The following is a 27,659-nucleotide window of genomic DNA, read 5'->3' as shown; positions in this document are numbered from 1 at the left end:
TATTGTGTGGTGTGTGTGTGTTTATGTGTATATCCAATTGAGTATAAAAGTTGAGAATATAAAAGAGCACAAAGAGTAAAATAAATATGTTTTTTTCTGCTAATATGAAAGCACAGAGTTTAGATCTTTCATCCATTACCATATTGCTAGTGCCTGAAAAGTTTCTCATCTTAAATAGGCATCCATTATATACTGTTTAGTGAACAAATTAATGTAAAGGCTTGGGATACTATATATATATAGTAATGTTTTTCTTTTTGATGTTAACGTGTAAGAATTTCTCATACCATATTGTTTTCAAAATTTGAAATGTCAAAAACTACAACTGAAACAAACAAAATTTGAATTTTGATTCTTGACACATAGCATTGTCTAATTTGTGCAATTACTTCTTTTTCGTTAAAAGTTTATTTCTCATCTTTTGATATTATAAATTACATATTTATTTTTTCACATTATGTACTTCATAATTTTATATTTATTATGAACACATCTCATATCATAATTAGAAAACAGCTCTAATAGCTTGTTTATAATTTTTCTTAAATAGATTAATTATGTCACTGAATAGAACTGCTTAAAACCTTTCATAAATATTATCAAATTGCTCCAGAAGGTTGTACCAATTTAAATACCACTCTATTATTACAGGACAGTTCCCATCTTGCTATATTGCTTACATCAATTATTATTCTTAAAAAATTATCAATTTTCTCAGCACCATAAGACAGGGCAAAAGAGAAATAAAATGTAACAAAACAATTTTTTAAAAAATTACTTTTTTAGTAGATAAAGTATCATTTTGATTAAGTTTACATTTATATTATAAACTAAATTAGAAAAATTGTTTTATTATATAATTTTGTATTTTTAGTAAAGTTGGGGTTTCACCATGTTGGTCATGCTGGTCTCGAACTCCTGACCTCAGGTGATCTGCCTGCCTCGGTATACCAGTGTGCTGAGATTACAGGCATGAACCACCGCACCTGACCCATTTTAAATTCCTTTTTACTCTTTTTTTTTGTATTTTATAAATTTTGAACAATAAGCTGGTACTACATGTGACAGAGTATTAAAATATTGGCAGTGATACAATAGCAATATTGTAAGGAGAAACTAGAAGCAAGAGGCTGATTCAGCGAATGTCTTAAAACACTAGTCATCAGATAACAAGGCTACAGCCTCGTGAACTGGAAAATAAGCAATCTGCCAGATATTTTGATGGAAAGAAGGAAAATTTATGTGAGATTTTAGATATTAGAGACAACTAAGATGAAAAAACAGAAGTTGATTTTATTTTGGAAGACTAAGGTATGGTTGTCCCTAACAAAAAGAGTGTAATGGGACACAAAAGAGTGTACATGAAGCTGCTGATGACACACACAAAATTGATATTCAAGGCATAGGAGTGTTGAGATTGCAGAGATACTGAGGAAATAGACATGAACAAATTGCTGAAGGCAGATGCATTCTTTGGTATCCTTCTTCATATGTCTCTAATGATTTGTCATTGTTTTTCTTCTGTTGTTGTTATCTCTTTACTCTATTCTGTTTTCTTTTTCTCTTTTGGTTTTGGTATTTTTCACCCTGAAAGGTGGGGCCATCAATGCAGAGGACAGGAATTCCAGTTCATATCTAAAGAGATAGAAAGTAACAGAATTAGAAGGACAATCAGCAGCTCAAAGACTTGAAATTGTGAAGGCAAGAAAATAAAAGATAGTCCTTGCCTTTTACTCAAATTTCAGAATAAAGCAAAACAAACCTACAAATGTATTGCCATAAACTTTAAAAATATTTTAATTGAGCAAACTATTGTTTTTACAACTCATTAATTATCAGATTTTGTGATGAATATGTGTGAACAATTGAATTTAGGAAAATGAATTGGTAAATACTAACTTCATTGAAAATTGATTTGGTTTAAGGGTGAATTAACGAGATTTCAGAAGCATAAAAAAGCATATGGGTATATCTTTAGAGCTTGATTATAATCACAAGTTTGATGAAAGGTTTATATGCAGGTTGACTCCAAGATTATATAAAATCAGATTGACACATAATTTATTTAGTTCACATAGCAAAAGATAGTTGTCAAACTTATTGAATATTGTATAAAACATTGTTAAAATTCCTACTGAATTTGCCTTTAAAATATATAACCTGAGATTTGAGTATCTGTGTGTTGCTACTCTTGGCACGAAATAAATGGATGCGATTGCAAATAAGTATTCTGTATAGGTAACTTTTGAACTTCATTTGTAGTCATGAAATTTGATTCTTCATCTAACAATAAAATGATAAAAATGTGCTTTAGACGGTCAAGAATAGGTTTCTAAAATGCAATTGCCTTTCATATATGCTCAAGGGTTCTATCTAATTATATTTAAAAACTTGAGTAAATTTCTGGTCTTAGAGCTTTTGCTTACCTTATTGATAGTAAACCGTATAATAGGGATTCCAAGACAAGCACATTTACGAACTCCCTACATTCTCAAATTTGTGTGCATCTTTTTACTTATTTTTACTTCTCTATTTTTTGTCTTGATTCTTTTAGGATAAAATAAGGCCATATCTAATGTGTAATATGTGAACTTCTCACATATGAATGGAAACCAATATTTTGCTTACAAATCTTTATTGAGCCTTCTCACAAAAAGAGGAAAAGGATAGGAGGCCTGGGCGGGCGGATCACGAGGTCAGGAGATCAAGACCATCCTGGCTAACACAATGAAACCCCCGTCTCTACTAAAAATACAAAAAATTAGCCGGGCGTGGTGGCAGGCGCCTGTAGTCCCAGCTACTCGGGTGGCTGAGGCAGGACAGTGGCGTGAACCCGGGAGGCGGAGCTTGCAGTGAGCCGAGATTGCGCCACTGCACTCCAGCCTGGGTGACAGAGAGACTCCTTCTCCAAAAAAAAAAAAAAAAAAAAAAAAAAAAGGAAAAGGAGGGAAGGCTGTGAAAATGATTTCCTCTTGAATACAGTACTTAGAGCTGAAGTGGTTGGCTTGATTTTACTCTAAATTATATCGTCTTTGGGATGATTCAAAACATTTCTAGGACTACTTGAGGAAGAGAAATAAAGTGCCCGCTGTGGCAAAGCACATGTCTTTGTTCGTTTATATTTACTGCACATGATCTGTTACTTTTATGCAATAATTGATTTACTTTCCACTTATTTCTGAGGAAGGAAGGATGTTGTCTTTTTATGCTGTTTTAGAAAATCTGTTGTTGATTATATTTAATTCCTAGTGTATAGTGAGTGAACAGACAATATTCAAATTTATATCAGTTTTAACTCAGAGCCTTGAAAACGTGAAATGATTTTAATATGTTTTTTAATACAGTAAATTATTCCTCTACTCTGGTTTACTTTGGATTTCTGTTATTTTGCAGCTCAGTGTGGTGGTGCTATGTCAGACTTCAGTGGTGTGATCCTCAGTCCTGGGTTTCCTGGAAACTATCCCAGCAGTTTAGATTGCACATGGACAATAAATCTACCCATAGGTTTTGGTATGTGTATTAAAAACACGTGAAAGAGCTTTCAATATTTATTAATGTAGCCTTAAAATAAATTTCAATGTCGAATAAGAATTTATAAAATCTTCACAAATTGCAGTTTAGTTTAGGAATACATACAACTATGTAAATTGAAGAGTGAAATTTAAATAATTGTTGCTTAAGTCAAATACATTTCACTTGGAGTACTTGGATAATTGAAGGTATATGGGCATATTTTTTTTTTACTCTGATTTATTATTTTTTAATTGACAAATAAAAATTGTACATATTTATCATGTACAACATGATGTTTTGAAATTTGTATACATTTTGGAAGAACTAAATAAAGTTAATTAATATATTATCTCTAATATTTTTTATGGTGAGAACACTTAAAACCCTCTTAGCAATTTTCAAGAGCGCAATATGTTGTTAATAACTATAGTTACCATGTTGTACAATGAATTTACTTCTTTTGTGTAACTGAAATTTTGTGCCCTTTAACCAACATTTTCTTAATCCTTCTCTCTTACACCCTGGTAACTACCCTTCTACTTTCTACTCCTGAGTTCAGTTTTTTCAGATTCCACATGTGAGATCATGTGATATGTCTTTCTGTGCCTGACTTAATTGCACTTAACATAATGCCCTCCAGGTTCATCCATTTTGTTGTATATGACAGAATTCCCTTGTTTTTTTTATGGCTGAATAGTGTTTCATTGTGTATGTATACTATATTTTCTTTATCCATTCATCAGATGATGGACACTTAGGTTGATTCCGTATCTTGTCCATTGTGAGTAATGCTGCAGAAATACAAGATTGAAGATATCTCTTCAAGATTCTGACTTCAATTCTTTTGCACATATACCCAGTGGTAGGATTGTTGGCACATGTGGTAGTTCTGTTTTAAATTTTTTTGTGGAACCTCCATATTGTTTCCTGTAATGTCTGTACTAATATTTATTCCCACCAACAGTGTGCCAGGTCATTTTATAATTATATATAGAGATGTATAGACTGATATAGCTAGACAGACTTATACTATTTTTCAGTCGCTATGTATGGATATACCCTGAATTAGATATGTATAATAATGATAAATTCAACCTAAATTTTATGTGCATTGTTTTTGTAACTCTTTTCTTATTGCTGTAATCAAGTAGTACAGTTATTATTTTCTAGTAATCTATTGAATTCATCCCATTTTCTTTGCAAGTAAATCAGATTTTATTTTTAAAAAGTAGTATGAATTTTAAAATATTAGGTTTAAATACAAATCACTATAATACCTTCCCAATTTTAATGTAATAATTCCCAATATTTTTGATACATTACATAATATATCATATTTAATAAATTCTCCTTACCCTTACATCACTAATATACTCTCTTACAGCTTTTGCAGATCCTATGAGTTTATAAATGCACTAAAAGAAGTGCTTGATTGAGGGTACACATGTTCATTAAATCACAGAAGACTAGGATGAATAGATACTCATTGAAGCACAAACCAGGTAGTTTTAGAGTTATTAGGAAATTCTGTACTATGTCACTTATTGAGGACTGAACTTGGGTATCTCACTACCCAGTAAGCATCTACAACCTCAGAGTATAAATGCATATTTAAATGTTTTACATAAATTAACAGATAACTCATAGTTTTGACAAATATTTACTGAGTGTATATTATACTCCAGATACTGCTAAGTGCTGGAGATAAAATGTATGGCAATGCAGACTTTGCATTTTTCTTTAAATAAGTTACAGTCATAATGAGGAGACAGTAAAATGTATTATTATGATACAGTGTAACTAGAGAGCACAGGATTGTACTTAGAATGGACATCAGCCTAGTATAGGAAATGCAGTAAAGTCTTGACAGAGGGAGTGATGCTTAAACTTTAGCTTTAAAGATAAGTAACCAGGCCAGGCATGGTGTCTCACACCTGTAATCCCAGCACTTTGGGAGGCTGATGCGGGCAGATCACAAGGTCAGGAGATTGAGACCATCCTGGCTAACATGGTGAAACCTCATCTCTATTAAAAATACAAAAAATTAGCCAGGCATGGTGGCACGCACCTGTAGTCGCAGCTACTCTGGAGGCTGAGGCAGCAGAATTGCTTGAACCCAGGAGGCGGAGGCTGCAGTGAGCGGAGATCTTGCCACTGCACTCCAGCCTGGGCAACAGAGCAAGACTCTATCTCAAAAAATAAATAAATAAATAATAAATAAATAATCAACCAGCCTGGGCAACATAGTGAGGCTCTGTCTGTACTATAAATAAAAAAAAACTAGCCACACATGGTGGAGCCCGCCTGTATGTCCCACCTAATCAGAAGGCTGAGGCAGAAGGACTGCTTGAGTACCGGAGTTTGAGTTTACAGTGAGCTGTGATCATGCCACTGAGCAGCTGGGCCACCCTGTCTTTAAAAAATAAATAAATGATTAAATGAAATGAAAAAACAAAAAGTTAAGTAAAAGTCAGTCCAGCAAAGAATGTCAGTCTGCTGCAGGACGTGTGAAAGAAATTCCAGGTAAACAAGGTAACAAGTAGAAAAATGCAGGTGAGAAAGCTAAAAAAAATTAAACATGCCTGAACACTGTGTGACTGGCCTGAGGTTTTGGGAAAGCAGAACGTTATTGAGAGAAGGTTGCTGGGGACTTTCTATTTAGAAATCCTATTTAGGATCATTTTGGCTAAAATGTGGAAACTCTAAATTCGAAGTTGTAGTGAACTTCTATGTCCATTGATAGAATACTGATGTAAATGAACAACAGATTTGAACCAGCATGGCTCTTCCACGTCTTTCACTAGCCACTGTAGCTTATGTAGCTAAATGAATTATTTTAAAATGAATTATTAAAAATAGTTTCAATAATCTCATTATAACATGATCTTCAATTTCTGGCTAATTCTTGATTTTGAAAACCAACTTTATTAAAACTTGAATATATAGCTCTAATTTATAAATGAAAACATAAGAGATTTAGATACTTGATTACATTTTAATAACCATACTCTTTTCTTTGAGTTTTGATTAAATCAAATATTAGGTCCAATGTATTTAAACTATATATATATATATAAATATATATATATATAAATATATATATATAAATATATATATATATAATACATTTCAAGAGGTAAAGAAACATATGTTCAAGAATATATGAAACAATTTTGGAAAATGTTTGTAATAAAAGTGCTCAGTTAAAAATAAAAACAAAAAGTGCATATCTTCGGTCTTCACATATTAAGGTTGCATGTCCAAAGTTCTAAAAAGTTAATCTAATTTTTTAGAAAGTTGTTTAATATTTTAAACCCTGTTTTAAATATTTCCAAAGCTTATTTGTCCAAGGGACTGTTTAAAAAATCATTTAGTAACATGATGCGCGTTTACTCAGAGCCCCAGTGTAGTTATTAATATCATAAGCTTAAGAGTCTGAATGCCTCGGTTTGCAGTTCAAGCCTACTGGGTCATTGTGTAAACTTTACATGTGTCTTACTTCTCTGCGACTCACTTTCCTTGTTCTCATGAAATGGTGAGAATTAAATAAGTTAGCATATATAAATCACTTAAGGCAGGTAATATATATAATGTGTAGCAAATATAAATAACTTAAAACTTTCACCAAATATCAGATTTTATTACAAATAATTTAGAGAGTGATAATAGTAAGAAAAACATCAAATTTACTAAAATTGAGTGTTAAATTAATTAAGCAAATATACTTTAATTAACATTTTTTATCCCAGAGACATTTCACTGTCTCGTATTTTAGTTATGCTTATAAAGATATTGAGATTACATTGCAATATGACCACATATAACAATGATCACCAGATTTTATTAAGGTTATTATATAAAAGCCTGCATTATCTTCTGATAAGCAAAACACTGAAAGAGCACCCTTTAAATTATATACGTTATATTTCTGAGAAGTTAATTTCTCTCCTGTGAATGAATAACTTCTAATGCAATTGTGGAATCTATGTTACAAATCTATATTACAAATTTGCAATTATTTTCAACCTTAGATTGACCTTTTCCATAACACAAATTAGGCCAAAAGCGGCCTTTTCCTCTAAAAATTAGTTTATGTAATTTAAAGCGTATTAAAGAATAAGAAAGCCACTTTTTTGGATCATTTTTCATACAGTGACATTATAATGAAATGAAATGTTTTTCCTTTTAACTAATAATGGACATGTGAGAGCAGTATTCTTTTACTTTGAACCTCAGCAAAGTTACCTGTCCTAGGCAGACAGCAAATCCATGACTCAGATCTTGAGATTATGCCTCTTGACTTAAATGCAAACTTATCTAAGTACATTGATGTGATTGTGTGTGTGTATATTTATGTTTAATTCGGTAAAGCAAATAAAGTAGCATTCTGTTTGTTTTCTTCTTCAGGTGTACATCTCCAGTTTGTAAATTTTTCTACAGAAACCATACATGATTATTTGGAAGTACGAAGTGGATCCTCAGAAACTAGTACTGTTATTGGCCGGCTTAGTGGTCCTCAAATACCATCTTCCTTATTCAGCACCACCCATGAAACCAGCTTATATTTTCACAGTGACTATTCACAAAACAAACAAGGGTTTCATATTGTATACCAAGGTAAGAGAAATAATAAAAAATGAAAATTTATATAACCCCAAATCAGCTATTAGAAATATTTAACTGAGTCTAATTATTTTCTGTATTCTGTTTTAGAAAGAAAAAAAAAAAAACTTAAGCCAAGGTGAGCTTCAATTAGGAAGATTTTTAGAACAATGCAACTCTCTGGGAACTACACAGGGAGAATGATGTCTCTCTGAGACCTTAGAAAATCCTAACCATGAAACTGGATTGAATTAGTCTTAAGTTAATACACAATTAAATTAAGCAAGGCATGGCAAATAAGCAAGGCCAGCTGCACAGCAAAGATGTATCTTTGCTTTTATATTAAAAGGAATATATTGAAAAGATATTTTGTATTATTCATGTGTTGTATTATGTAAAATGTTCTTTTACTTTATAGTGATAAGACTAATATGACATTCCTTCATTTTGTTCTATTGTCATGAGAATATAAATACTTTGATAATCATGTTATATTAGACCTATCTCTCAAACAGAACTACTGCATGACCTTGAGCAAGATTTTTATCTCTTTTGAGTAAAGGGTTTGGGCGTAAGTAGAGCTAGGCTCAAATGTTGATTCTTCCTATTCTATCTAATGTGGCCTCGGCCTTGCTCTCCATTTGCTCATGTGCATAATGGAGTTAATTATACTTTCAGATAAGTTGTATTGAACTTTTTATTAAAAAATGTATGTAAGGTGTATTCCATGATGTATATTTTTAGTAATTACTCAGTCCTTTTTAGCTATTGCTATTATATTATTTCATGTCTTATATGTGTATATTCTGTTAAAATTAAATATTAAAATGATATTTTACATAATAAAGTTTATTTCTAATGGCTGAAATTTTTAATCAAAATAAACTAAAATGTTATTACATCTCTGCCCTAATTATTGAAGGACTTTATGTAATGCTTTTGTATCTCAGCTCCTCAAGAACAGGCAATTGGGTTGTTCATTGGAGTATCATAAGCATCTAGAGCAGTAAGCACAATAAATATTTGCTAAAGTATCTACCAAAGAGGAAATTTGAAAGTAGTTAAGATAGAGATAGGTCTTAAACATCAAATTACATGGATCTGAAATAATTATAATTTGTATTATACTTGCGTGCATAATGTAAGAACACTACATTACACATAATCACTTTCATAAAATAGGAGTCATTTCAATCACCTCCCAGCACATTGAATTAACCATGCTTGCAAGGAAATTAATTATTTTTAAAACAATTGGGTAATTGGTTGAATTTCTCTTCTTTGCTGCTAGAAGACTCAGAACCATATTTGTGATATACTTTAGCAAGTGTACATGGCCTTATGCCAAGTTCTTTGCCATGCACCTTAAAACAGACTAAACCTGTTTTTTTCCTATTCTCATTTTCCCTCTCTCTCAAAATAATGTTCTTATTTGAATGATGTAAAACTAGAAATTGAGCTTTATTAACTCTGATATTTTCAGTTAATATATCCTTGAAAAACAATTCATTATTGACCTAATAAAAGTGTAAAATATATAAACTTTTTTCACTGTTACTGACGTATTATTAACAGGAGCCATAATGTATTACAATGATGAGGAGATGTTGTGAATCACACTGAGTTTTAAAATGGTTTCTTTTTGTGCTACATTTATGTAACTAACCTAGTGCATTTTAAAGAAATAGTTAACATATATATTCACAGAGTCAATATTATTTTTGGATTGATTTTGTGGTTAAATTTTAAGAACCTTCTGAATTTGGAAAAGTTATACTGTACAATTTAGAGTACCCATCTACTGAAGGAATCAGTTTGAAAATTAATGTTATTACTGACAAGATTATTAGGTTTGGTAAGTCCTGTTGTCACCGGTACAAGATTGTGACTGCAAGTTGTCCGGATTCTTGGCTTTTTGAACAAAGAATTGGACAAAACGCCCAGCAAAGCAAAGAAAGAATGAAGCAACAAAAGAACGAAAGCAGAGATTTATTGAAAACAAAAGTACACTCCCAGTGTGGGAGCAGGCCGATCAGTGGCTCAAGGGCCCAGATACAGAATCTTTTTGGGTCCAGATGCCCCCTAGAAGTTTCCCATTGGCCACTTCATGCTCACCCCATGTAGATGAAGTGGTAGCCCGCAATCAGTCTGATCTGAAAGCAGCCAACCAGAAGCTGAAGTGAAGTTACAAAGATCACACTCCTGTGCAAATATCTGATTGGTTGCAAAAAGCAACCAATTGCTTTTTGCAACCAATCAGAGGCTAAGGTGAAGTTACAAAGTTATACTTCTGTGCAAACGAGGACTCGGCCTGCAATCAGTCTGATTGGTTGCAGACAGCCAATTTCTCATCTGCTGGGCCAAAAAGGTGAGGGGTTTGCAGATGGAGTTGCCTCTGGTCCTCTTATTACTAAGTTGTGGAAAGTTAGGGTTTTCCTTTCAATTTAGTTTGAGGAAGTTGGTGTTAGACAGCCTTAGGTTCCCTGCCTCCAGACCCAATTCTCCCACCTCACTGTATTGTATATAACATTAGAATGGGAACTTTCTCCTACACACTTAAAATCTATTTTCTATACTTATTAAACTAAAAAACTTGGAGTAGAAATTGAAAGGGTATATTTAATAGAATAATATATTCCAACTCCTAATGATCAATTCCTAATACACATTTGTCTTAAGTTGGAATAAGAACTCTTTCTAATATATTTTTGTGTAGAATATTTTTTGTGTAGAATATCAATTAAAATGAAAAGGACACATTAAGAATGAAAGCACTTAACATTTTAAAGAATTTGTTCATTAATTCTGAAATCTTTAGTCCTAAAAATTTGAGTTATATTGTAATAAACAACAGGATAGTTTATTTAACTTCGAATGTGATTTTTTATTTGAGGAATATAAAATTTTAACGGTTTGGTAGAGAAGTAGTCTTTGATTTTCAGAAATTTAAATTTTACTAATTAGAATACAATTTTGAACTTCTTAATTAAAAAGTTCCAAATATTGATATTTTATGAGAATAGGCCCTGTTCATAGGTCTAACATTTATTTAGTAATGTTTATTTAACACTACTCTGTGAAAGGCAATAGCCAAGGCTTTGAGATATGATAATAATACAAACAGGAACTTTGATCTCATACAAAATGTAGAGCAAGAGAAGTATGAACAAATAAATAGGCAATTATACTGCATTGCCCAAATTATCCCATAACTGAAGTACAAAGTTCATTTTATATTAAAATAAAATTTTTTTCCAGTGCTTTATTTTACAAACTAACTTCTTTGAAATTAACTCAACAGAAGTATATTGTGATCTGTAGAAAAACAATTAGTAAAACAAACTGTAAAAAGGCTCAGAATTAGGCTTATACATATTCTTATTGCATTCTGTGTGCTTGTAACATAATCAAGAAGCAATTGCATTCTCTGGAAGAGAATCAGAATGCATTGGATTAAAATTGTAGCTTTAAGAAGAGTTTACATTTTCATTAAAACATAATTTAGTTGGGTTGCACAAGTAGGTGAAGAAAGCATGCGTTTTTATTAATTGTACTAACATTTTAAATATGAAAATTGTAGACATGAGAAGAAATTTATGTCACAGGTCATTGACAGCATTTATCATAAACCTGAATTGCTATTTATAATCAACTGCAAGTAGCATCACATCTATTTTTAAGTTGCAAAATTGCTGTAGTACCCTATCTGTGGCCTCTGAAATTTGGAAAGAAAAAATGTCTTTCTTTTTCCTCTTTCCAGCCTATCAGTTGCAAAGCTGTCCTGATCCACGCCCGTTTCGAAATGGTTTTGTAATTGGTAATGATTTTACTGTGGGTCAAACCATTTCATTTGAATGTTTCCCAGGATACACATTAATTGGAAATTCAGCTCTCACATGCCTTCACGGAGTCAGTCGTAATTGGAATCATCCACTTCCAAGGTGTGAAGGTATGCTTCTAACTTGAAGCTATCTTTTAGGTGATGTCATCTGTTTTTAATATTGTTTTGGCACTTTTTACTTGTCTTCCTCTTCCAATAGCATGCTAAATATATAGTCTCTCAGCTGAAGATATTTTTTAAACCCCTAAGGCTCTATAATGAATAACGATTTTATCATTATTGGCAGGAGTCCTAACCTTTCCTATTGGGAGTGAAAAAATAGTTGATTCACACTTTAGAGCTTTTCTTATGTGTGTGGGGAAGGGAAGGGGGTGCATGTGGGTTTGTATGCATTTAAGTCATTCTTACATAAACCACTAACCCAGATACTGCTACTGAGTTCCTTTCCTCTAGAAAATCCTTTGAAATAAAAGGCTTTGAACCTCTTATAAGGCCTTATATGTACACATAGTAAGAGGCAAATGAAAGTTAAAGTCTTTGCATTGATATAAAATATTTAAATAATAGAGAAGACAATGTAATTTACTAATCTAGTGATCATTAATAACAATTATTTAGTATACCTCATGTGGAAAAATAAATAAAAGTTGACTCTATTTTGTGCACTGTTGCCAACTTCATTATACATACCTCAACTGAAGTAAAAACAAGGCATAAATGTGTTTCATAATGCTTAAGATATGTGAAATGTTTGCCTTTTTCTCCACAGTCAGTTTATTGTTATTTTAAAATATTATTTTGTTTTGTGACTTTTTCCGTAGCTCTTTGTGGTGGGAATATAACTGCAATGAATGGCACCATTTATTCTCCTGGGTATCCTGATGAATATCCAAACTTTCAAGATTGTTTTTGGCTTGTAAGAGTACCCCCTGGGAATGGCATCTACATCAATTTTACTGTCCTTCAAACAGAACCAATATATGATTTCATTACTGTATGGTAAGTCAGGACTATTGTTATTGATTTATTCAATTATATACACAGTAAAACAAGGTTGGAATAAAAATATATCACAATCCTCTGTTACAAATTGTCATCTGATATTTGAATTGATGTGAGTAACTGAGGGTGACAGTATGTGTCTTGTAGAATTACATACACAAGAGAAATAGGTTTTGGCTTATTTGCCCCATGAACTAGGTAAGCATTGTGGAACAAAGACTTCATAGGTGAAAACAAGATTAAAAAATATTATTAAATTAATGTGCTAAAACAGGAAGTTAACAGACTTAAGTTTAAGGTATGGAAGTTCTCTACTTACAAAAGCCAGTGGAATTTAAGAAATTATAATTATTTAATATAACTAGTGGATTTCTGCCATAAAAATTTAATTGTATTAAAGTCTTGTCAATTGAAACATCTTTATTTAAAAATATATTAAGGCCAGGTGCAGTGGCTAACATCTGCAATCCCAGCACTTTGGGAGGCCACAGTGGGAGCATCACTTCATCCCAAGAATTCAATACCAGCCTGGGCAACATAGTGAGACTCTCTCTAGAAAAAATAAAAAATTAGCCAGACATGGTGGCATGCGCCTGTGGTCCCAGCTATTCAGGAGGCTGAGATGAGAGGATCCCTTGAGCCTGGGAGGTCAAAGGTGCAGTGAGCTGTGATCATCCTACTGCACTCCAGCATGGGCAACGGAGTGAGGCCCTGGCTCTAAATAAATAAATAAATAAAAATGTATTAAAGAAAGTATCTGAATTAATAATTAACTACTGATAATTTATCTGAGTTCTAAGAGTTGTAACTTTAACAGTCTGTGATTCTCAAGACTGTTGCTGAAGAAAATAAAAGAGGGGCAAACCTCAAGCATTTAAAAGCATCAGAGTTTTGGTAAAAAAAAAAAAAAACAAAGACAATGTATTGATTATAACTAATATGAGTACATTCCATTTAGTAAAAATGTAATCTATTTTTATACTTGACATTTAAAAATATGTGGTCACCTACATAGATATAGAATATATAATTTGTACTCATTGGTTAGCTTCCTGCATCTTTATTATTGATACGTTAGAATATAAATATATGCAATACTTTTATTAAATACGGTTCAAAACTACTTCCACAATCAATCTTGATCTCTCCTCCTTTCCCAATCCTTGTCTCATAGGGATGGACCAGACCAAAATTCACCTCAGATCGGTCAGTTCAGTGGCAATACCGCTTTGGAATCAGTCTACAGTACTTCAAATCAGATTCTAATCAAATTCCACAGTGATTTCACAACAAGTGGCTTTTTTGTGCTCAGTTATCACGGTTGGTATTATCTGAGAGTTCCTATTTCATTTGCTACTGTTTAATTTGTCCTGGAAAAAAGTGAATGTAATATATATTTAACCAATGATTGAAAAGGTATTAAAATTTAGAAATTTTATAATCACAGTAACTTTAGCATTTCAAACACATTTCCTTGCAAAAGATGACCTCTTCTAAGTATTCAGGGACATTAAAATGTGAGCAAATGGATATAGGAAATAAATCAGTCAGTAATTACCCACTGGAAAATAATCATTTCTGCATGAAAACCAATAAAGGAGAACCAGCTGTTCATACTCTAGTGCATGTAATTTTGAGACGTCAATAGATTTTTTTCCTATACAAAATGTTTAATCTATTCAACCTGCTGTGACTCTTTCTAAAATTGGCATTCAGTATCTTCACGCTTTGGATCACATTACTCATTCATTTATACTGTTGTTTCAAAACTGTGTCTATTCTAGAATCTTACAGTTTTAAGTGACTATTCCAGATCATTAAGTTCATAGCTTTTACTGCTGTGGAATAATTTATGTATAGTCTCAATTTGATTTCATTGTATAGGATCCTTTGTTCTGGGCTCTGTATTCATAAACTTAACTTTTTGAAAGGACATTCAGAAGGTTTCACAGAGGTGTTTCTCTTCTTTATTTTTGTTTTAATCCTCAATTGGTTGTATTCCATTATTAATAAGAAAATGGCTATTTATCTATAATGATTACATCCTTTTATCTGCTATGACTACAGTCTCATTATAACACATTCTGCCTCATATAACTTTGTCAGACTAATTCCATGAGTATTTCACAAGACCAATAATCTACTAAATTAAGTTTGCAAAAATTATATGAAAATGTGAGGCTGGACATGTGCTTTGCCCATTACATAATGTATGACTTAGCATTTCACCTTTTTAATATACAAGTAGCTAAATATTTGATACTTAAAGCTTATATTCCATGAAAAATATAGTATATAGTAAATCAACTGTGATTGTGTTCAAAGACATTTAAAGCACATGGGATCTAGTCAGAAATTTATCATAAAATGTTTGAGTTGCTTAATTTGAGCACTTATCAGCCAATTAGATGGTATCTAATTAGTTTCTCCATAGTGATCCACTGCCATCCAGAACTGATACGCAATCCAACATAACCAGTTGAAAAGTCAGGGGTTCAGTCTATGGCCATACCACCATGAACACGCTGATCTCTTCTGGAAAGTTGGATATTCAGTCAGACAACTTTTATTCCGGCTGTTTTTTTTAAAAAAATAATTTATTTGCCTTTCCTACTGAGTTGATCATTAATGCTGGCAGTTTGCAGATATAGCCTAAGGCTGAAACAATAGAATTATTACTTTGATAGAAAATCATAATTCGGGAACTAATACATAATCATTAAGATAAAAAAATGAATTAGTTGCCAAACTATATTATGTACATTTTATCTCCACATGGATTTCTGCCTCAATATTTTTTATCATTTTATGTACTGCTTGAAATCATAAAGAAAGGACTATTCATTGATGAACTATAAATATCCACAAGATAACCCTATAGGAAGTATAAAATTTTTATAAATTTAGGAGACATTTCAAGGGAAAAATATTATCAAAGGAAAGGATGTCAGTGTTGTGTGTGTGTGTGTGTGTGTGTGTATGAGACAGAATTTGAACATTCATATAAAAATATGTGGATAATAGATATACATAAACACAAAATCTTAGTGTGGATTTAAATATACACATATATGAATATATAAACATATATCCTCATTTCAAAATGTTTCACTTGACTTTTGCAAGTGGGCTTTGAGACATGTGTGATAGAAATAGAATTGCTTAAGAATAAAGCAGATCAAGGCCAGGCGCAGTGGCTCATGCCTATAATCCCAGCACTATGGGAGGCCAAGGCAGGTGGATTACCTGAGGTCGGGAGTTCGAGACTAGCCTGACCCACATGGCGAAACCCCGTCTCTACTAAAAATACAAAATTAGCCAGGCGTGGTGGTTCATGCCTGTAATCCCAGCTACTCAGGTGGCTGAGGCAGGAGAATCACTTGAACCCCGGAGGCAGAGGTTGCAGTGAGCCGAGATGGCGCCATTGCACTCCAGCGTGGGCAACAAGAGTGAAGCTCTGTCTCAAAATCAATCAATCAATCAATCAATAAAAATAAAACAGATCAGATATTCATTTAACCCTTGATTTTCTATTTGACCTTGGACAAGTTACACTTTGATCTCTACTTTCCTCAGCTGTAAAGCAATGTGATAGAATTGCTGAGAGGATTAAATGTCATATTATATATGTATAATTTATTCCAATTACTGGCATATATTAGGTTGAACCATATAAAATCATTGGTCAAAAAATCCTATGGGCAATTTTACATAGCTCAACTGTAGAAATATTGTAATTGTTACTATTATCAGCTTTAAGCTGAGGAGACGTTTTGAGAATTGGAGATAATTGATAATATACAGGTAGCATAATGCCTGGCAGAGCAGATGTTCAGTAAATATCTGTTTCCATACCATATCTTACCTCACATTTTAGATTTTTCAAATAGGACATTTATTCATTAGATTTTATAATAAGGTGCAAAAAAATTGCCAGAGCCTAATGAAGCCTACTGTTTGAATCAACAGCTATGGAGATTCTACCCAAATTTTAAAATAAACTTGAAGTTTGGGAGCATAGCCAGAGTTCATGTTAAAAATTGACTGATACTTTAAATTTCTCTAGCCTAATAGGATAATTTTTCTAAAGCACTGCTTTCATTCCTACCTGCCTTTTCAAGAATGCATGAGGCCTACATTAAATCTAATTTAAAGCTACCCTATAATCCAGTTCACTGATTGTTACTCTGCAGTCCCTACACAACTTCAGTCAGGTTGGTTTTCTCACTGCCTCCTGAACTTCCATTCTTAAATCTCATCTTCATCTCCATCATAAATACTCTTGGTTTCTTAACTCATCTTCAGTTATTTAAGTCTTTTTATGTTAAGTCCCATTTCCTCCACTTCTTGATAATTTGAACTCATGGTGATCACTGCCATCACTTCTATGATTACACTTACTCTTTTTACCAAACTTTTGAAAACTTAATTACAATATGGTGTATTATTTTATAAGCCTTAGGAGTTTATTGACTGTTTTTTGAGGATACAAATTTCTTGTTCTTATCCTCTTTATATTTTTGTTATTGACTGATTGTATTTTAGTGTTACAGTGGGAAGTGTGCATTCAGACTCTTTAAAAAGTTGTTTGCATTTATTTGAGCAGTGTTAGTAACAACTTTTACAAAGATCATTTTAGAATTACTAAATGTGTAATTTCTAAATTACATCCTCCTTAACAAGAACAAGAAGATATGCCTGTTAATACTAATTTGAGCTATAAGCTCAATGTCATAAGGAAATCTCATAATAGTAAAAAATTGGTCAAATTATTTGGAATTTTTGATAAATAAACCAAGTATATAATTCATTATAAGCTTAACACTTATTTTAAGCTGGCTGAGTATGCCTAATCTTTGAATGGTTTACTACCCCACCCAGTTTTCTTTATATCCTCTTAGACTTGATAGTTACTTCTGATATACCTTGCTTTATAATTCAGAAGTGATTTTCTCAAGACTTGTATATTTATTTTATAAGGTTGACAGTTCAATATTTTTGTGTATTTTCTTAAGGTCACATTGATCATTGAAGTTTTATTTGTTGATATATTTTGAATGTGCTGGAAAAGAGAGGGAAAAAAATGTATGTTTTTTTCTCTAACCTAACTTCCTTTATAAGATCCAGGCAGCCATCTGTCTTTTATAAAACATCACCTTCGTAAAGCCTTTTATGATCAAAAATAACATTTATAAAAAAGCTTTGCAAAATGAAAGCTCTCTGCAATGAAAAAATAGGACAAGCGTAAATGTTGAGGCAGTTTACCTCAGATATCATATTTTTTTCTCATTTGAGGAAATGTTTTTGTATCTCTTTGTGTTGCTATAATTATGATTTCCTAAAATAAGAACCGCATTTTCTTCATATCTGCTGTAGAGTCAAGATGAGGTTGGTTTATAATTAATAATAATATTCAGTCCTAATTAATGACCCCCTGAAAGATAAATTACTCAAAATAAATTTTAACTGAGTGTTCTTTTTGCAGTGACTTTGTATAGCCATCACTATATTAGTGGTAACAACCATTTATTGAAAATTTAATATGCTGAGCCTTGTGCTAGGTGCTTTCCATGTATTATTGCTAATTTTCATAGTAACCCTATAAGGTAAGTATTATTATCTTCATTTTAATAATGAACAAACTGAGTAAAAAACCGGATAACCTACATAAAGCCAGAGAACTAATAAGTAGAAGGGCTGGCTGGAGTTCAAAATAGGTCTGCCTGACTTCAAAGAATGATCCCTTTTTGAAAAATCAAAACAACAATAACAACAGCTAAAATTCATTGTATTCTTATTAAGTGCCAGACAATGTTCTAAGCTGGTATTATCTCATGAATAGATTATATTTAATGGTATATAAACCTAATTGTTCTTTAAAAATTTAGTCAAAGTGATTTTCATTTTTAGCAATGTGATGGGTCATCTCATTTTCTCAAATACGCCTCCTAATTATAACTTGAAGCTTTAAGCTTCTTATTGCTTCATTTACCCAAGATCTACAAAGTAGTGACAGTACATTATAGATTTATCACAGCTCAATGTATTCTTTATAGTTTCTAAAATGTGCCTGTGGGCACTGTGCCAAGAGAAAAAATTTTATTGAGATCTGGCTTATGTCACTCAAAATAACCAGGCGACTAGAGTATAGCCAAAATATGTATTTACTAATTTAATACCGAAATTATTTTATGGTGTTTAAGCCAATTATCCAGGTCACTTGATTTTCTAATATCAATGTACTAGGGAAATTCACTTTGTAAGTGGAAGATTTTCTTAGCATAATATGATTTAATAATTATGTTATTATTTTCTGTTATTGGCACATTTTCTATTGAAGAATGAGTTGATTACATAATGACTCATTATTGTAAAGAAATGTATTTAAAAGGCCTGTAATGTGTTTCAGGTCATCTTTTACGGTTATGCTACTTTTACAATAAATGCTGTGTTTGGAAACAAGTATATTTAACTTCACAAAGTCTCATCCTAAAAGAGATTGCTGCAGATGTAAGGACATGCTTTATATAAACCATAAGTCACGATTGCCTTTAACTGTGTGACCCCTTTGCCTCACATAACCTAAAGACCTGACCTCCTTTTGTATTGTAATAGCTAGAGCACAGAACCCGTAAAGTGTTTTATTATTTGATGTCCAGAGAGAACGGGGGTATGGACATCGTGTAATAATGTATGTGTGTGTATGTATGTGTGTGTGTGTTTGTGTGTATATGTGTGTATAAAATGAAACAATGGAGCTAAAACCCAAACTGCTAGAACTGTTAGGAGGAAAGGAAAATACCATTTACTGTTAGTTAAATGACTTAAATGACTACTTAATTATTACTCAAAACTAAAAGTCATGTCAAAATTACTATCTTTTGACACTTCACTGTATGTATATGCCCAGTTGATAAGGTATGGTATTTATTTTCTTAAATATCTTACTTTCTGTTGCCTCCAGCCAAAGACTATCAGGAACACAACTTCTGTTAAACAAAGTTAGATTTATTAGCTCATGATAATGAGTGAGACAACATATGATGAGGGACTCTGTGATCTCAGCAAAAGTGTGTCAGGAGAGGCTTGATAAAGGAATTTGACTGTATGAGATGGTTTTGAGAAGGGTTCAAGGAAACATAATTTTCTTCTGGATTGGGTGCTGTTAGAAAATTTGAGCAGTTTTATGATTGGATATCTTAGTATTTTTTCTAGAAGGTGGGGGGGAATGGAATATACCTATATAATTAGTGTGGAAATACTATTCACTAATGTTGGCTGAGGTGGAAGACTGTCATTTTGATTATTTGAACAGTGTTCTTGTTTTCTGATTATGCCTATGGAAAGGTCTTATTTCTCGCTTGTTTCAACAAGGTCAAAGAATTACCTTGTCTTCTGGGAAACTGTTTATGTTTAACAGGAGACAATGCCTATCAATTAGAGCCAGGTCTATATGCCAGGGAACTCAACAATGTAGAGAAGAGGTCTTTGGCACATTATTTTTCAGATTTTAATGGGCTCAGCACTAAGGCAGCATACCTTAAATTAGCTGTCTGCATGCGGAGAAGACAATTCATGCAACAGATATTGAAATGTTCTTACAATAATGCAGCAGATATCCCAGTAGTTTTGTTTCACAATAGTTTCTGTTATTTCTTTTCTAGGTAAATAGTAAGAGTGACTTCTTGTTGACTGTATTAGTCCATTCTCACACTGCTATAAAGAACTGCCCAAGACTTGGTAATTTATAAAGGAAAGAAGTTTAATTGACGCACAGTTCCATATGACTGGGAAGGCCTCAGGAAACTTACAGTCATGGCAGAAGGGGAAGCAGGCACGTTTTAAATGTTGGCAGGAGAGACAGTGAGTGTGTAAAGGAGGAACTGTCAAACACCATCAGATTTCATGAGCACTCACTCACTCTCATGAGAACAGTATCGGGGAAACCACCCCCATGATCCAATCCCCTCTCACTAGATCCCTCTCTCAACACATGGGGCTTATGGGGATTATGATTTGAGATAAGATTTGGGTCAGGACACAGAACCAAATCAGATCATTGATTCATTTTCATTCCTCATGATAGAAACTTTCTTTCTCGCATCTCTAAATCCAAATAAGCATTCACTCTTGATTTCTAATATTCTCCCTTATAGAGGCAGAGAAACAAACTGAATATAAAATATTAGTGATGTAAAAGGGATATTTGTAAAGTAATTTAAACCCTGCTGGAACACACTTCTATCTTCATGTCAACTCACTGGCAGATTTTCTGCAAAATGGAAAACAAATTTATTGTTTTCTTCTCTTCAATTAAAACTAAGGTAGCATTAATTTCAATACACTTAGTTCTGCTTTCAAGTGAAATAGCTTAAGCTTATTTCAGATAAGTTTAAAAATAACACTGCCCAAACTGCATAACAGAACATAAAATTTATCAATGGTTGTTCTCCCCCAAATCATGAGATTATCATACTTGAACTAATCTGGATGAGCACTGAAGTACACTGGGGCTTATATAGAGCTTAGAGTTTATAAGGGAATATGCAACGTTATTTCTGTCCTCTGTAAGGAATACTGTGTCCTTACTTGGCAGAAAGGTTATGTGCTTGTGCTTTTTTTGGTTTGGAGAAGGAATGGCAATTTGCCAGTGTTCTGTTTTGTCTTTTTTGAAGAAGGCTTTAATAGCGCATTGAATAGAAGTAGATACATGCAGCATTATTTTCTGGAATTGGGTTGGATGTTTCATTGAAAAGAAAATAGAAAATTAAAAATAACGAAAAACTATTGCCAGAATCAAATCTTAAACCAATTTCAAAAAGCATATTTGTTGGACGAGGAACCAGATATCTATGCACATTTGGACAAAAACAGAGAACTATTTAAATAATAGCCATCCTCAGAAGATACAGACATGTGGAATACGATGCTCTCATGTAGTTGTTAGTAGTTGTTAGATAGCAAATGGTGTTTAAAAGTTGGTGGGGCATGTCAGATAACATGATTCTTCTAAAAAGAACACATACTTAGTTCCAATGTGTATTTTTAAAGTGTGAATATCTATTTTGTGCAGCTTTTCTGTTAATGGTCATGGCTGCAAACTGTTTCTAAATAGAACAATCCATGAAAAGCATGGACTAACATATATGTACATATGATTTAAAGTTTAGATGACATAATTTATATGATTTAATCATTTCAGTTCCACCAGTGGCTGAATGTGTGACCTTGTCCACCTCATTTCACTTATTTAGGTCATCTTCCTACTACCCCTTAAAGAGTCTAGGAGAAATGATTTCTAAGATTATTTCCAGTTTGTCTATGATCCTAACCTGTACAATATTGGATATATTTGTACCAGACCTGTTTATTTTCTTCCTGAGTAACCAAAGCATATATTTTATACAGAATGAGGTATTTTCTAACTTTGATTTGTTATTAATTAGTATTTCTTAAGTGATTTCCAGAGCACTGTGCTAATAGTTTTGAGACCACAGACACTTACATATTATATAGGATGATACAGTGTGTTGCTAAACTCATGGATTTTATACTACAGTATAAGGTACATCAATGTAAAACAAGGATATCCAATTTATTTATTTATTTACTTATTTATTTATTTTTGAGACAGGGTCTCACTCTGTCGCCCAGGCTGGAGTGCAGCGGCACAAGCTCAGCTGACTGCAACCTCTGTCTCCTGAGTTCAAGTGATTCTTCTGCCTCAGCCTCCCAAGTAGCTGGGATTACAGGCATGCACCGCCACACCTGTCTAATTTTTGTATTTTTAGTAGAGGCAGGGTTTCACCTGTCTCTGCAGGTGGCTAGCTGGTTTCAAACTCCTGACCTCAAGTGGTCTGCTCTCCTCACATCCCATAGTGCTGGGATTGCAGGCATGAGCTACTGTGCCTGGCCAAGAATATCCAATTTAAATCAGAAAAGAAACAAACAAATGGTTAGATACGTTCTGGGAAGTCACGTGGGTGCTTTGAATGACCCATTGTGAGGAAGGTCACGTCAGATTGAAGTTACATGAGTATGGGGCACAAACATCATCACAGCAGAAATGCTGATGCCAATATTTGTCAAGCGGAATGTACCCTCCCTCTTAACTGGTAATATGTTCAGGCCTTATTCTAAGCACTTTATAATATTTTAACTCAATCTTGGCTTTATGTCTATTTTACAGATGAGATAGCTGAAGCAGATTCTTAGCAGTTTGCCTAAGGTGATGGAAATAGCCAACAGCAGACCGAGATTTGAACCATCAGTCTGGTTACAGAGTAAATATTTGATCAGCCTGCTTTGTGCACAAATGTAGTTATCAATACAAACTGGATTATGTATTTTTTTATGATGTTGATTGGTTTGATAGAAACATCTTCAGAAAGAGAAGCAGAGCTGCACAATGTTTAATTCCCCTTTGTTGCCTTCAATTACAAAACATCTGCTGCATCACACCTCACAATCATTACACCCTTTTCTTTGACCAACAAAGACAACATGCCTCAATTTTATTCATAATTCTGTAAATAATTGCCAAATCAAAATGTCCTTTATACATAAGAAGTGAAAGTTAAGAAAAGCAGAAAATATTAATATTTATGTTATTTATTTGTGAATGTCAAATATCTTGAAGAAATAGAAACCCAATTTGATGTCATAGTGGTTTATTCTTATTGAAAGATAAGCTTAAAATGTGCCAGACAGTATTCCAAATGCTTTGCATGTGTAAACCCATTTGATTCTCATAACTGCCCTTTGGGATGGCATAAAATTATTACTATTATCATTATTATTTTATAAATGAGGAAAGCAAAGCAGAAAGATAAATAACTTGCCCAAGTTTTGCCAGTTTTTCAGTGTTCAAAATAAGATTCGAACCCAAAGAGCCAAAGAGTCTAGACTATGTCCTTACTCAATACCATAAGAATGTGTTATATATCATACGTATATACTCATTCATATATATACTTATATGTAATATATATGTATATACACTAATTCGGCATCCATTCTTTCATTTCTCTAGCAGTCAGTCATTCAGCAAATATTTATTGGATGCTGCTACGTGCTGAACACTGGATTATGCCCTAAAGAGTTAGTAGTTAATAAGAAAAGCAAAAATGCCTGCTTTCATGGAATTTACATTCTAGTATAAGAAAATAGATAGTAAACAAATGCATAATTCTTACAGATTGTGAAAATTGCCAGACTGTGAAACAAAGTTAACTGCAAAGGATCAACTTTAGGTAGCATTATCAGTGAAGACATCTCTGTTTTGGTCATGTTCAAAGTTATAAAAGAGCTAGGAAGATAGATTTCAAGAAAATGAAAGACAAAAGAAAATTATACAGAACATAAAATTTTAGCTATGTTATCAAATGTTAAGCTCTCAACCATTTAAGAGCTCTGTTGATGCAGTAATTAAAAAGACTACAGTAAGAGGTTGTAGACAGGTTTGATTTTTTGAAATTTAGTATTAAAAATGAAGAGATGTGGTTTAACATTTTTTTAAGAAGTAAGAATGATAGGCCACATGCCTATCAGTGGTACTTGAATTTTAAGTAGAGGAGATAAACTATTTTTTGATTATTTATAGCTAAAAATATAAGCTGGTTAATAGGTGGGGATGAAGTTAATCAGACAAAGTTAGAAACCCTTGGAGGTCATAATCAAGACTTTTAATTTAATGCGTAAGTCATTTGGGGACACTAAGAAGTTATGTAGACTCTATCAGCAATTGTTTATTTAACACCCACTGCAATATAGACTCTAGTAGTCTCTTGCTATCCACTCTTGTTCTCTTCCAATTGTGTGTGTGCTTTTTAAAAATTTCTGACTACAGCCAGAGTGATCTTTTAAAGGATAAATCTGACCACATTCCCCTCCAACTTAAATCTCTTTAAAGGCCTCCCATTGGTCTCAGCTTAAAATAAATGAAATCCTGAGTATAACTTGTACAATCCTGTCTGATTTAGCCCCTGATTTTTGCTCTTTTCGATCCCTCCTCTCTCTCACTAGGGCTATCATTCATCTCCAGAAAACACACACACACACACACACCCACACACACACCCCTTGCTTCAACTAGTTAAATTCTACTAATTAATATCTTTCTCACCAACTATTAGCATATACAGAGCAGGCTTCTGTCTGCTTTGCTTACCTTTGCATTTCCAGCACCTATTATGGTTTCTGGCATCTGGCAGATCATAGGAGCTCAATAATAACTTATTTAATAAACAACTAAATTAAATGTGTTAGGTATTGTAGGAAATGCAAATACAATACAAAATACATAAGCTATACGCGGAACGTGAACCAATACATAAAACAATTCAACACAATGAAACACTAAATGCTAAATATTATGGTGCCAATTTCTAGGCTGGCAAGCTTGCCAGAAATGAAGATGTGGGATAGGAAATGAACATGGCAAATACAAAGCACCCAGGAAAGTTCAGCTGTATATAGCAGACATCTTGTGTGAGAGACTGATGAGAATTAGGGTAATGATCTTGCTTTATCTAAGATGATAAATTCAATCTGTAGGCCATAAAAAAACACTGTAAATTGAAAATAGGGAAATGGCAGCAACAAAATGATATTCAAAATGAGGTTTATTTATCTATAAATCGGGGAGACAATGTGTCTTAATTTTATATTGGAACTTGGTTCAAATTCTGGCTGTGTGAGTAGGGCAAATAATTCAACCACTATGAAATTTAGTGTCCCTTTTGGTAACATGAGTATATTTACACATATTTTGATGTGGCATTTTAGTGATTAATGAAAGAGGCATGTAAAGGACTTTTCAGAGTCCTTTGTACAAAGTGGATTCCAGGTAAATACTTCCTTGATTCTCTTCTATCACTTCACTGTATGTAAGAAGGGTAGTATCAGGGAGACACTGAAGGTAAGGAACACACTATAGGCCAATTTAATAACACAGGTGTATTAGTTTACTAGGGCTGCTGAAACAAAGTACCACAAACTGGTGGCTTAAAAGCAATCTTTGGCATTCCTTAGCTTATAGATGAATCACTACAGTTTGAACCTTCATCATCACATGACCATCTTACCTGTGTGATCATCTCTGTGTCTCTTTTTATTTTATAGGGACACTAGTCATATTGAATTAAGGGTACCCCCATAATTTTATACAACCTTAAGTTAACCAATTACGTCTGCAACAACCCTATTTCAAATAACATTTTTAGGTTCCAGGAAAGGCATGAATTTTAGGTGAAACTATTCAACCCAGTACAGCGGGAATTAAATGGCAGGAATCTAGACTGAGATATTGGCAGCAAGATTGGAGAGACATTGGACAAATCATAGAGTTATGTTAAAGAACATACTAGTAGAGATTGATGAAGATTGAAAACAAAATTGTTGCAAGCTACTTATGATTAAGCCTTTTGTAGTGCTTGGTCTTCAAAAGTCAAAAGAGAAACAGATGAAAAGAGGTTTGTTTGTTTGTTTGTTTGTTTGTTTTTCATTACTCCTTTCCCCTTTACTTTTTTATTCAAAATTACATAGTTCAACCCTGAAAAGCATTTTAACCAGATCTTGCCTATATTTCAATGTTTAGCATTGTCTGACACTCAATTGTTTCTATTTCATCCCCACTGGCAATTTTAAAGTTGGGAGTCATCTTAGGGAAGACTGTTGAGAGACTGCTTCCCTCTTGAAGAAACCTACATTCTGTCAGTTATTAGCAAATATTAGTTGAATTATAAGTATAGTGACAAGAACTAATTCCTGGATAGTGAAAAAGGTAGATAAACAAATAGCCTCTGTCATGTAACTTAAAGTCTACATAGGGACCCAATGAACAAGCATGCAAATAAATGGAAAATAACACACTTTGAACAAGTCGTGTTTACATGTGCCACAAAAGGGGTTCTGTGATTAGAAAATAACAGTGAGGAGTGGGAAAGGGAGGCATGAAGAGGTCAGAAGAGATGTTTAGCCTGGCAATATAGAATTGGGAATTGAGACACAGAGTCAGAATTGTAGCCAAAAGAATCAAGGGAATCACTTAGGTAAGAATGTAGAATGTTTATTCAAAGGAAAGTTTGTTCAGAATTCAAATTTATACAATTGATAAGAATAGAGTTGTTCTTATTGAAGTAGAGTTGGAAGTTAAGGACATTACACCTCAGACCCTCCATGGGCTCACAGTGATCTCTTAGCTTCTAGGGACACATTTTATAAAACTGACAGTGATAGGAAAGAACAGAGAATAAGACATTAGCTCACAGCACCCATGTTGTCTTGGAAAAATAACATAATAACTCTGAGCATCATAGTCTTCTTTAGTAAAAAATTACAACCTTTGATCTTTTAAATCCTGTGACTGAGTTATCTAGGTCATTCTCAGAATATTCCACAGATGATAATAGTCATGGATTCCACATAAAAAAGTGTTTCTTGTTTACAATAATCAAACAATTTAGGATTAGCATGAAGATTAAAATAACTTCACAGAAAAACACAAGTAAAATAATACAGGTATGAGCATCTCTACATTTCTGTAATTTCTGAGTTGATCTCTATTCTCTGGTAAGATCAGACAAAGCCTTCTCTAAAGCATAGTCTCAGAAAGATTTCTCTGTTTAGGCTCCCCCTATCTTCTCCATTTTCTCTTACATTTTAGGCATTTCTTACAATTACCTTTTTTCTTTATCACTGT

General features: G+C 33.0%; 1 protein-coding gene across 10 annotated transcripts in view; it reads left to right on the top strand.

Annotated features, from left to right (window-relative positions):
- Window positions 1-27,659, top strand: part of CSMD3 (CUB and Sushi multiple domains 3) — a 1,214,012-nt gene that overhangs the window by 1,087,333 nt on the left and 99,020 nt on the right. For all 10 annotated transcript variants that reach the window (NM_001363185.1, XM_017013010.2, NM_052900.3 and 7 more), the window contains 5 exons: window positions 3,394-3,510; window positions 7,921-8,130; window positions 11,876-12,064; window positions 12,778-12,955; window positions 14,133-14,278. In NM_001363185.1, the coding sequence (NP_001350114.1) occupies window positions 3,394-3,510; window positions 7,921-8,130; window positions 11,876-12,064; window positions 12,778-12,955; window positions 14,133-14,278 (840 nt within the window). The remainder of the gene's footprint in view (window positions 1-3,393; window positions 3,511-7,920; window positions 8,131-11,875; window positions 12,065-12,777; window positions 12,956-14,132; window positions 14,279-27,659) is intronic.

This window comes from Homo sapiens, chromosome 8, assembly GCF_000001405.40.
Source record: "Homo sapiens chromosome 8, GRCh38.p14 Primary Assembly".
In the NCBI taxonomy this organism is placed as follows: Eukaryota; Metazoa; Chordata; class Mammalia; order Primates; family Hominidae; genus Homo; species Homo sapiens.
This window is presented reverse-complemented; position numbering and strand designations above follow the sequence as displayed.